This window comes from Homo sapiens, chromosome 8, assembly GCF_000001405.40.
Source record: "Homo sapiens chromosome 8, GRCh38.p14 Primary Assembly".
In the NCBI taxonomy this organism is placed as follows: domain Eukaryota; kingdom Metazoa; phylum Chordata; class Mammalia; order Primates; family Hominidae; genus Homo; species Homo sapiens.
The window spans coordinates 92,545,434-92,558,833 of NC_000008.11; positions in this window are offsets into that span (position 1 = coordinate 92,545,434).

Here is a 13,400-nt window from a genome sequence, read left to right on the forward strand (position 1 = left end):
TGTTTTCAGTTCACTGTTGATTTTAAAATATGTTTATTGTAAATTATTGTGACAGATACTTAAAGATTTAGTCTGCCATATGAAAGAAGCAAAGGTTTGAACTGTCTTTTCACTATTGCTATCTTTCTTCTTGGTATATTTAATGGACGTGGAAAGATGGATGATGTTTCACTTTACCTTCCACTTTATATAGCATAGCAATAGCTCAGAGTGAAATCTTATTTATTTCACTAAGCACCAGTTAGTAAAGCTGTTACAACTCATTTAAGATGTGGGTCTAAGATTTAGATGTGCATTCTAAATTTAGACATCTGTTATGTTTATTCATCATTAACTATGACTTCCTTTTTGACAGTAAAGATGTGGCTGCTTAGGACAGTTCTAAAGTCTTCTTGGAAGTCATATTGTTTTTAAAACAGATTTTGTGAAGCTAAGTTTAAGTTAATCAGAACATAAGTACACACATTCATTAAAACACCCACATGGGTTGAGAAATGATGGAAAATGTGTTTGGCAAAACCCATTTGGCAACTTTCCAAAACCAAAACATTCAAAAAATAGTATTTAATCATTTTTTAAAACTAAAACATGGTCAGATTTTTCAATGCCTAAAAATTTAGTTATTTGGCGTGTTTGTTATGGCAGAGTAACTTTTAGTAATTCTTAATCCTTATTTTATAAATATTAATAGTAAAATCTATATGTTAGGTATTCTTGCATTGACTCTTCCAACCAATTTAGAAACTCAAAATGAGCAGAATCAAAAATGATATGAGACTTGGCCAGGCACGGTGGCTCATGCCTGTAATCCCAGCACTTTGGGAGGCCGAGGAGGGCAGATCATGAAGTCAGGAGATCGAGACCATCCTGGCTAACATGGTGAAACCCCATCTCTACTAAAATACAAAAAATTATCCGGGTGTGGTGGCATACGCCTGTAGTCCCAGCTACTTGGGAGGCTGAGGCAGGGGAATTGCTTGAACCCGGGAGGCAGAGCTTGCAGTGAGCCGAAATGGCGCCACTGTACTCCAGCCCGGCAACAGAGCAAGACTCCGTCTCAAAAAGAAAAAAAAAAAAAAAGATACGAGACTTAACATTATCTGCTATTTTGTACATAGAGGAATGCTTGTGTACAAAGGGAAGCTACCACATGTGCAAACAAACAACTCAGCAATGACCAAATTCCAAATTCAGTTCATTTAAAAAAATTCTACAATTAATTGACCAAAAAGACCAGGAAATAGTCTGAAAAAGACCTTTGATTATCACTTTAACTTTAGTGAAGTAATCATTGTCTTCTTGGTTCTTGGATTTAAGCCGTTATTTTCACATTCATGTGAATCAACAGTATCAATTGCAAATTGGGCTACTCGACCATTTGAGATTAGTTTGCTTGAGAAAATTAGGTCTACTTATCGAGTGCTTAATGTGGCTGTGCTAAAACTTGTTCAGGTTCCCCAGGGTATTAACTTTACTTTGAATCTAACGTTGTGATCAAGATTGTTCACAACTAGCATATTGATGGAGAATATGTTTCCCAAAACATACTGTTTCCCAAAACAAGATAGAAGTTTTAGTCCTCCATTCATCCGATTCTTTGCAATGTGCACCCAGTCATCTGCAAATTATCCTTCGCTTCCTAAATTCAATAACTCTTGAGTTTAGGGCTCAGAGAGCACCTTCAATAGCTCTATTCTAAAAAATCCTAAGACTTGTGGAAGTAACCACTTCTTAAATTCTTTAATGGCACAACCAGAGAACACTTTCTTTAACACTAATAGCAGTCCTTGAATGAATATCTACTATGTGCAAAAAACTTTACACAATCTTCACAGCGATCCATAGACAGTATTATCTCTACAGATATCCATAGAACAAGTAAACTGAAGCTCCTATAGGTCTGTCAAAATAAGAATTCAATTTCTAGTTGAAGTGCCAAGACCTACTGCCCTTCCTCTCTCCCTCACTCAGGAGGCCTGTCTTCCTCTGGGTCTTCCCTCTGCCCAAAGGAGATTTTTTAGGTATCTGTCCTCTCCACTTCTGGGTCTCCAAAACCAAGGTAGCCCATTAGCTTGGCTGAGAGCTAGCATACTCATAGACAACCTGAAAGTAATTTTCCAGGAATACATCCTTAACTCTGATATTTCACAGCTCAGAATGAAATATGATTCACAGAGAACAACTTAGTTTGCCTTCCTGCCTTCTCTCCAATTCTACTCCAAACACCCCTCCTCCTTAGACCACACTCTGCTTAGCCTCCCAGGATTGGCCCAGCCTCCCCACTCCCTGCAGTTATTGATGCATACCCCAAAACAGACCAAAGACTGGATACCCTCCCAAGGTAAACCTCAACCTTCAGCCCTTCCAAAGGTAGTGAGTGCTACAGTTTCCAATCCTCCTGCCTTTCTTCTTCTTATCATTTAATGTCCCCAGAGTACCAAGGAGATGAATATAGTGCAATGTCCTTATGTTCTAATTCTCTCCTGGATTATGGAAATGATTCTGAAAAAAATATTTAAAGATAATTTCATTTTAGGATTGGGGTTTTGTTTCTTAGAAAATACTATAAACATGAAATTATTCTTTCCAAGCAGTGTCTGTTACTCTTCAATTACATTTCTGCTGTTATAACTAGGCAATAATGATTCATGTATTTTAATAAAAACTATCAAGCTTATTTGTAATTTGGATCCAGAGAGATGTGCTGTAACTGTCCTTGGTCCTTAAAATCTTAGCAGAAGAAAGACACTACTAGGCCCATGATGCATAGCAAAAGTGTTCATATCCTTGAAGGTAGGGACTTCCTAGAACACTAATTTTAGGGCCTTGTGCATACTAGACATTAAAAAGGGAACCTGAATAGGAAATATGTCCTTTTGTTTTATTTTAAGTTATATGTATAGACATATAAGCATGAGGCCACTGGATTAAGTACTTTGATAAAATGTGTTAGTGGTTTCACACAGCAGGATGTCAGACACATTTAGAGTAAGTGTTGTTTGTATTCATTAATAGTAGCATACAATCCCATACAGAGATGCTAGTTTTTTTTTCCCAAAGTTATTACAATTGGTTTATGGAAGTTTGTATAGGCATGAAGCTAAAAAAAAAAAGCTGGCTTCTCTGTCCTTTTAAACTCTTTCTAGTAAGAATTTGAGAGCTGTAAACTTACAGCAATAGAGAATAGGAGCTAGTGTTTAAAGCTAAACATATACCTACTATACTTGAGGTCAAACCACTTCCTCAGAGAGTTTTGTATGGAAAGCATCACATCTTTTAGATTTATAGAGACATTTCATTCTATTTACTAATTTTCAAATATCAGGTGCTGACATCAGGGAAATGATACTGATAAATTTTTATGGCATAATATAAATAGCTAAATTTATCATAAACTAAACAAAGAACAGAGCAAATAGTTTGGATAACTGTATTTTCACATAAAACATATTTTCTGTAAAAATGTAAAATCATTCTTTAAATGAACTGTGATGACAATTGCTAGTAACATTATTTTACATGTTTACATAATATTAAATCTCAAAACAAAGGCAAAATGTGTTACTTCTGCACCAAATTTCAAGTATTCATTTTTGAATGATCTAACCTTGATTTTCCATCTATGTTTTGGAGCAAAATGTCACAAACCCTTAAAGCTTGTCTTTTCCTCAGTCATACTTGCCCTCAACTTTAATTCTAGATCCTGTGGTGGCACACACTTTCTCACTCTGCTCTCTGGGGTTTACTGACTGTTTGCTAAGAAGAAAAATCACTATTTTTGTTTCATGCATCTTTCTGCTCCACATAGATTGGTATGAGTTATAAAATAGAAAGAATGCCAGCTCCTCACATATTCAGGTAGACACGAGTTTGTTCTCTGATCCAGGAGTGTGTAAAACCACACAATTGTCTAACGGTGATTGTTTTCTAGTCAGAAAAGAGTCATTTTCTTTCCCTTCACACTTGTTTTCCCTCAGCCCCCATTTCTTTCAAACCTTAAAGCTGGTATAAAAATTAATTTGCATTGAAATGTTTAAGATCAGTTTCCACCATTCTAGCAGAACTTTTTTCTTTTTTTGAAAATCTATGTTTCTTAAAAGACCTATGTAACTTTCCAGAGGGTTTAGAAATAGAATTCAAGCCAAATAATACTCAGTGTTTAGGTGGAGGTGAATAACTTTTTCTTCATAGCCTGATCAAAAAACAAACACTTTCTAGACTCCAGTTTCCAAACCTGACCTCTGAAAGTAAGAAATCGTTCACTGTAGAGATACATTAATTTGGCTATTTTCTGAGTCTTTGCCATTTTGATTTTAAATTGTAAGTACTTTCTGCCTGTTAATAGATCAGGAAGGTTAGACCGCACTCCTCGGGTTTTCCCTGGACGTCTTGGGGGTCTCTGGCAGTGCAAGTGGGCATGGGAGGCTTTCTTCGACACTGCTCTGCCTCACGGCTGTCCACAGGAAAATACAGCTTCTCAGAAAAACCCTCTTCTCTCACCACAGATCTCAACATTATTTCCTCTCTTCGGTCAAAGTGTCTTAGTTTATTGAGGAAAGAGAATCAATAGGGTGAACCTTCCTACCTTTTTCATGAAAGGCCAAATCCTCAACCCCTATTTTGAATTTCAGTTCCATCTTGCATTTCCTTAAAGATTTTGCTCATGCTACTATTCACCATATTCTCTTGGACTAATGATCCCCCATCTTTACTCAACCAATTGTATCACAAAACACTAGTCCACTGACCTGCTTTTTTCAAGGTCTTGAGTGTCTTCCATGCTGCCAGACCCAGGAAGCGCCGATTGTTGGCAATTCCATCTACCTCTCAGGAGCATTCTCCAGGGCTGACTCTCCCCCCTCTTTTCAAACACTCTTTTCTTGGATTCCATGACAATACACCTTCCTTGTACTCTTCCCAAATCCGTAGTTTCTTACTCCCTATTTACTTTGCAAGTCTTTTCTTCAAACAGATCTCTAACTATTGGTGTTCTTCGGGCCAAGTACTGAGCCCATTTCATTTCTCTAACCATATTATTTCCCTAGGTGACTTTATCCAGTTCTACAGCTTTAGATGCCATCTCTATGGTAATGACTCACAAATTTGTATTTCAAACCTAAAGTACTCCCCATCTATCTGATTGTTTCCTCAAAATCCCTGTCCAGATGTCTCACAGACATCTAAAGTTTAACTCATTCAAATAGAACTCTCAATTTTTCCAATAAGCCCCTTTGCCCAGCTTTATCTTAGTAAATGGCACCATTATCCACTCACTTTCTTAAGAGTTACTCCTGATTTCTTCTTTTCTCTTACCATGCCTTCCTCCCCACCCCACACAATCCACCAGCAGGTTCTACTCATTCTATCTTTCTTCTTTATCCTTTTTTTTTTTTTTTTTTTTTTTGAGACGGAGTTTTGCTCTCGTCTCCAAGGCTGGAATGCAGTGGTGCGATCTCAGCTCACTGCAACCTCTGCCTCCCAGGTTCAAGGGATTCTTCTACCTCAGCTTCCCAAGTAGCTGGGATTACAGTTGTGTGCCACCATGCCCAGCTAATTTTGTATTTTTAGTAGAAAGTGTTTCACCATGTTGGCCAGGGTGGTCTTGAACTCCTGACCTCAGGTGATCCACCAGCCTCAGCCTCCCAAAGTGCTGGGATTACAGGTGTGAGCCACCGTGCCTGGCTTATTCTACCTTTCAAATATAGATCACAGTCATCCATTCTATGCCTCCTTCTGCCCAGGTTTCAGACAATTGGTGGCCAGAATCATTGCGATTGCCACTTAGTACATCTTCTTTTTGCTGCTTTTGCCCACCAACAATCCTCCTGTTAAACTCATCCTTTAAAACTGAAAATAAGCTAATTGTAGTAATGCCCACCATCAAACCAATCAATGGTTTATAATTAGGTCCCAGCCCATGTCTGCAGAACTACCTCATGTTCTACCCTTCCCTGCACTGAGCTCAGGCTCACAGATCTTACTCAGGCACCTTGGACATACTGAGATGGGAGTCCTGGTATAAATGGGCTTCCTCAGAAAATACTGTCCAACCATGCCTAAAGAGCCTGCCTCATTAGTTTTTAGCTCAAGTAACAGTTTATATCTTTCATAGTATTGATCACAATTTCTAATGACTATTTTTATTTATGTTTAATCATTTACGTCTTTCACAGAACTGTAAGGTTTTTGTGACCATAGTCACCCTTGAACTCTTCTATCCTTTTAACCTGGTGCCTGGCATGAGTAGGTGCCTAGTAAATAATCATTGAAGAAATAGATGCAATGCAGAGTGCTCACAATAACAGGAATTTTTTCCACACTGCACATATGATATTGGGCTGCTAATTGCGCTTCTAAATATAGAGCAAATAAATTGTGTAAAATAAGCCATGTGAGAAAATGAATATTTCTTGGAGAATGTGAACTTTGCATTCATTTAGCTTCTAGGTCCCAATTTAGGATCTGAGGGCTGCATTAATGTAGGTTTTTGTGATTAATTATTTATGGGGCATTGAAATGATGTGCACCGAAAAGCAGATCCGGCTTTAAGTAGCTTCAATATATCTGAAGACATTACTAGACACAATTCAAAAAATCTACACACAGATTATTACAGGTTTGCTGAAATTATATTAATTATACTTGCTATAACACAACATAGGGAAAAACACTATTTGAAGGACTTTGTAAATGATTAAAGGGGCAGCTGTTTCAAGATCCAGGTGCTAAGGTGGAAATAGAAATTTACATCCAATTTTTTATTTCAAGGATTCTGTTAATCATGATACTATGGGCCTGATTTTCCTACTGACTACACAATCCAGATTTTATTTATCTCAAGGGTTGATGACATTTGTTCTAACATTCACATTATTTTCATAGACAGAGGACATTTTTGTACTCTCATGATAAAAAAAGAAATTAAAAGCAAAATACACAGAAACATTTGAATTTATCTCAGACAATAGGGAGAAATTTATATAGAGACAAAAAAAGAGAATAAATTTCAAAGAGTCTTCAAATGAATTCTGAATTGTAGCATGTATGTTGTGTATACAAATATGTAATATATATGCATGCACTCCCAACACCCCCCCCACACACACACACATGTACACACACATTTCCCTGTAACAGAGATCTGATTGATTTACAAATGGAAGACTGGAATCTTTCCCTCTTGGACCTTCCTTACAACTATAGCAGCCTTTGAGGCACTTATTGGACTTCAGTCTTTTTCAACGTGGAGATAATTAAGCTTTTATGCCCTAAGTTATACATTGTATGTTAGAATTAACTTCTCTCCTATGCATTTAGTATAGCAGCAATTATGTATCATTCTTAGAGAATTAAGAAAGTAGTCACTAAGTTCATTTTATGTGTTCCGCAGTTGAGATGAGAAAATCTATATGGCTACCAGTAATTTGAAAACCACTGATATAAGAGATGGTTATACCATTACACAGAATAGATTTGTCAAATAGACTACAAAATTTCTGCCCTTTCCCCTTTACGTTCCCATAACAGACATTGTTAATCAATCATGGGACTCTGCTCCTGTGTCTGGATGATACCTTTGAATTCTCCTGAACACTGTGCTCTAGGCAGCCATTACCAATCAATCAGAATCAAGAATGCAAGATGAAGTCAAATTGCCATTCTGATGTGGAAGATTAGGGTGATTGAAAAAAGTGGATGAAGAAAAAAGGTAATATAATCAAACCAATCTTCTGATGAATTGCCTACCTTTCCTATTGAAAGGTTTTAACTAGGAACAAATATATTTGCATACCATGAAAGATATTTTAAGCTATTACATATTATCTTTAAAAGCATTAATTCTTTAGGTTATTCAAGATATTATTATCCTGTATTTATTGAGAATAGTCATGTAATTTGACATATAGATGGGCAGAAAGGAAAAAAAGGAATCAAAGTTGTGTACCTATTAATAAGGAGAATGACTTCATGGCTATTAAGAGAAAATTAAACATTTATAAAGTATGAAAAGGATAACCCTTGAAAAAGAGAGACCAAATTGAAACATGCCCTATGAAGTGGCTGATTCTTTTATTGTTTGCAGACAGTATGGACCCCAAGGTCTCCTAAACAGGTACAGTAACAGCTCAATAAAGACCTTACAGATAGAAAAAAACAGTTGTGTCCTTTGCCCCAAAACCTCTTTCCATTGCAGATGGAGCCATATCTTACTGATACTCCTGCAGATTCATTCCCATCCAGACTCTGGGGATATATAGACCACTAGCTGGGATGCTTATCTCTCCAACACCAATGAACCCTGTCTGTCCTCTCTTATTCTACACATGCTTCCTATTGTAATGTCCAGACTTCTTCCCCTATTCCTTTCTTCTAAGCCAGTTCCAATTGTTCTTTCCCTATGTCTGAATTCCTGTTGAAATTCTTTTATTCTGAGCCCCAATTTGTTTTATTTGTTTGTTTTTAGGACTTGGGAGTAGTATCTTGACACTTGGATTCCACCCAAGCTCAAATCTCAGACCCTTATACAGTCCTTGTCACATATTGTCACACCTGAAACTAATGACTCTCTTGTTGGGACCAGTGATGACAACAGAGATGATTAGTAATATCTTCATGTATAATTATAATTATACATGAAGTTAATTATAATTCTCTTCATTTTATGGACAAAGAAACTGAGTCTCAGAAGGGTTAAATACACTGTCCAAGATTCACTGTGAGGAGGTCGTGCAGCTAGATTCAAACCCATGTCTGTTAATCTCTAAGTCTTCTTTTCTTTTCTTTTCTTTTTTTTTCTTTCGAGATGGAGTTTCACTCTTGTTGCCAAGGCTGAATTGCAATGGCGCGGTCTTGGCTCACTGCACCCTCAGCCTCCCAGATTCAAGCGATTTTCCTCCTTCAGCCTCCTGACTAGCTGGGATTACAGGCATGCACCACCACGCCCAGCAAATTTTTATATTTTTAGTAGAGACGAGGTTTCACCATGTTGGCCAGGCTAGTCTCGAATGCCTGACTTCAGGTGATCCACCCGCCTTGGCCTCCCAAAGTGCTGGGATTACAGATGTGAGCCACTGCATCTGGCCTAAGTCTTCTTACCTTTTCTAACGTAACACATAGAAAGTCTTTGCCTGCTCTTCCCCCCTCTAGTAGATCTATTATTATTCATTCATGTATCTATTCATTCAACAAATATTTATAAGCAACCATCAGGCAGGATGTTAGACACTGGGAATACAACAAAGACATATAAAATAGTTCTTGACCCTACAGACCCCCAGGAATGCCCCAAATCTCCAATAACAAGGGTCTGTAGACTTTCCACTTATTCCAAATAATGATAAACTTATTATAAAAGACTTCTTCAAAAGAAACTGTGAAGTCTCGTGTGTGTTTTAGGAATACTATTGTCAGTGAGGAGGATATATTAGATTGTGCATATGAAGGAGTAAAAGATAATTAATAAATTCATAAATAATCTAACAAGCAACAATGGACCCAATCTGGGTGATACTAGGAATAAACAAAGAGGAAGATGAGCCACATTTAGGTTGAATGGCCAGGATTTGCTGAGTGACTGAATGTAAGGACTGAAGGAGAGAGAAGCATCAAAAATGGTTCTAAGGTGGGTAAAAAATATAGAAAAAATGAATAATATCCACTATTTGATATCACAACAGGGTTACTACAGTCAATAATAACTTGTGTACGTTTAAAAATACCTAGAAGAGTATAATTGGATTGTTTATATCCTTTGTAACATAAAGGATAAATGCTTGAGGGGATGGATACCCCTTTCTCCATAATGAGATTATTACACATCGCATGCCTATATCAAAACATCTCATGTACCCTATAAATATATAACCTACTATATACCCACAAAAATTAAAAATAAAAAAACTTAAATGGTTCTGAAGTCTCTAGACTATGATTCTGGATGGCAAATAACACAAATGGCAGAGAATGGATATTTAAAAAAATAGAAACAAGTTTGTGGGAGAATATAGAGCTGAGTTTTGAACTTGTATTTGAGGCACACATAGGGAACCAGGTACATTTCTAGTAAGTACTTGGAAATTACAGTTGGGAGCTTATGAATAAGGTAAGAGTTCAATATAGATATTTGATAATCATCTGTTGAGTGATGTCTGAAGTCATGGGAATAAATGTGATGGTTGAAGGGGGAAAAGTTGAAAAAGAAGAAAAAAGTCCAAAAGTGAACATGAAAGTTAAACTTGCAATTAAAATGCAAGTGAGAGAAGTGGAACTCACAAAAGAGATTGTTGTACACTGCAAAAAATATCCACAATCCCTTCTTCACTCTTCCCTATAGCTTTGCCCATGCAGTGTGGCTTTTAAGTTTTCCTGTCAAGAGGTAGAGTCTATTTTCCCTCATCTTGAATTTTGGTTGCCTTTTAGACTGGCTTTGTCAACAGAATTCAGCAGAAGTGATTATTTGACTTGCATGATTCCACATTCTTATTTAGAACTTTGAGCAGTTGCCAAGTATACAAGCCCAGGCTGTCCTGTGCAAGTGCAAGCTAGAGGATACGAGGCCTTCTGGAGCAGAAGCAAGCCAGCCCAGTAGAGGACATTCTAGGCCAACCATCCCCCAGTTAAGCCAGCAGCTAACCACAGAGACATGAGTGAGCCCAGCTGGGACCAGAACTGCTGAGCCAAGCACAGCCCAAATTACTGACTTGTGGAATTGTAAACTAAATAAATGGTCGTTGTTTTCAGCTATTAACTTTTAGGAGAGCTTGTCATGCGGTAAAAAGTAAAGGTAATTGATACAGAAATTGAGATAGAGAAGGAGGAGAGCCAGCATAAGCTAGCATCAAGATGTAAGGAGGGAAAGAAATACAAAGAGAAGAGAGTGGTTGACAATGTGAACTATTCCAAACACACCAGACATAACTAACAATCTATTGCATTTGGCAATGAGCAGGACTCTGCTAACCTGAAAGTGCAGTTTCAAGTAATGAGGTGGGTGGGGAAGACCAATAGCAGAAGAAATAGAGATGGAGAGTAAAGGCTTCATGTTCAATGTAATTAAGAAAAAGTTCCCTTCCCTGGGAGAGGAGATTAGAGGCAAGAACACTATGATCCTTAGTGTCTTCAGCGATAAAATAAGGAGGTTGTTCTTGATGGTTGTGGAAAATTCTTCCTTTACTTGTACTCTATTGTTAGTGGGAGGCAGAAGAACTTGACACTCATACACACAGGTTTGAAATAAGACAGGTGTGGCTGTTATTACAAACTCCTTCCCCTAATTTGTGTGGTTTTTTATTTAAGGTTACATAGACAAAGTCTAAATTTTCTGATGTTAGATAATAACATTATTGATAACACTAATAATTATATCCACCCACTAGCATAACATATTACATTAAATTAAATGCTATAATGAGCTAGTGCAGTGCCTGGCATATTTTCATTGTTAATAGCATCATCATCATCATCATTGCTCCTAAAACTTGTATAAGTATTTTTTTATTTTTTATTTTATTTATTTATTTAATTTTATTATACTTTAAGTAGTAGGGCACATGTGCATAACGTGCATGTTTGTTACATGGGTATACATGTGCCATGTTGGTTCTCATTGTTCAATTCCCACCTATGAGTGAGAATATGCAGTGTTTGGTTTCCTGTCCTTGTAACAGTTTGCTCAGAATGATGGTTTCCAGCTTCATCCATATCCCTGCAAAGGACATGAACTCTTCCATTTTTATGGCTGCATAGTATTCCGTGGTGTATATGTGCTACATTTTCTTAATACAGTCTATCGTTGATGGACATTTGGGTTGGTTCCAAGTCTTTGCTATTGTGAATAGTGCCACAATAAATATATGTGTTCATGAGTCTTTATAGTAGCAGGATTTATAATCCTTTGGGTATATACCCAGTAAAGGCATTGCTGGGTCAAATGGTATTTCTAGTTCTAGATCCTTGAGGAATTGCCACACTGTCTTCCACAACAGTTGAATTAGTTTACACTCCCACCAACAGTGTAAAAGCGTTTCTATTTCTCCACATCCTCTCCAGCATCTGTTTTTTCCTGACTTTTTAATGATCGCCATTCTAACTGGTGTGAGATGGTATCTAATTGTGGTTTTGATTTGCATTTCTCTGATAACCAGTGGTGATGAGCAATTTTTCATGTGTCTGTTGGCTGCATAAATGTCTTCTTTTGAGAAGTGTCTGTTCATATCCTTTGCCCACTTTTTGATGTGGTTGTTTTTTTCTTGTAAATTTGTTTAAGTTCTTTGTAGATTCTGGATATTAGCCTTTTGTCAGATGGGTAGATGGCAAAAATTTTCCTCCATTCTGTAGGTTGCCTGTTCACTCTGATGGTAGTTTCTTTTGCTGTGCAGAAGCTCTTCAGTTTAATTAGATTCCATTTGTCTCTTTGGCTTTTGTTGCCGTTGCTTTCGGTGTTTTAGTCACGAAGTCCTTGCGCATGCCTATGTCCTGAAGGGTACTGCCTAGGTTTTCTTCTAGGGTTTTTATGGTTTTAGTCCTAACATTTAAGTCTTTAATCCAGCTTGAATTAATTTTTGTATAAGGTGTAAGAAAGAGATCCAGTTTCAGCTTTCTACGTATGGCTAACCAGTTTTCCCAGCACCATTTATTAAATAGGGAATCCTTTCCCCATTTCTTGTTTTTGTCAGGTTTGTCAAATATCAGATTGTTGTAGATGTGTGGTGTTATTTCTGAGGCCTCTGTTCTGTTCCATTGGTCTATATATCTGTTTTGGTAACAGTACCATGCTGTTTTGGTTACTGTAGCCTTGTAGTATAGTTTGAAGTCAGGTAGCATGATGCCTCCAACTTTGTTCTTTTTGCTTAGGATTGTCTTGGCAATGCAGGCTCTTTTTTGGTTCCATATGAACTTTAAAGTAGTTTTTCCAATTCTGTAAAGAAAGTCATTGGTAGCTTGATGGGGATGGCATTGAATCTATAAATTACCTTGGGCAGTATAGCCATTTTCACAATATTGATTCTTCCTATCCATGAGCATGGAATGTTCTTCCATTTGTTTGTGTCCTCTTTTATTTCGTTGTGCAGTGGTTTGTAGTTCTCCTAGAAGAGGTCCTTCACATCCCTCGTAAGTTGATTCCTAGGTATTTTATTCTCTTTGTAGCAATTGTGAATGGGAGGTCACTCATGATTTGGCTCTCTGTTTGTCTGTTATTGGTGTATAGGAATGCTTGTGATTTTTGCACATTGATTTTGTATCCTGAGACTTTGTTGAAGTTGCTTGTCAGCTTAAGGAGATTTTGGGCTGAGACAATGGGGTTTTCTAAATATACAATCATGTCATCTGCAAACAGGGACAATTTGACTTCCTCTTTTCCTAATTTAATACCCTCTATACCCTCTATTTCTTTCTCTTGC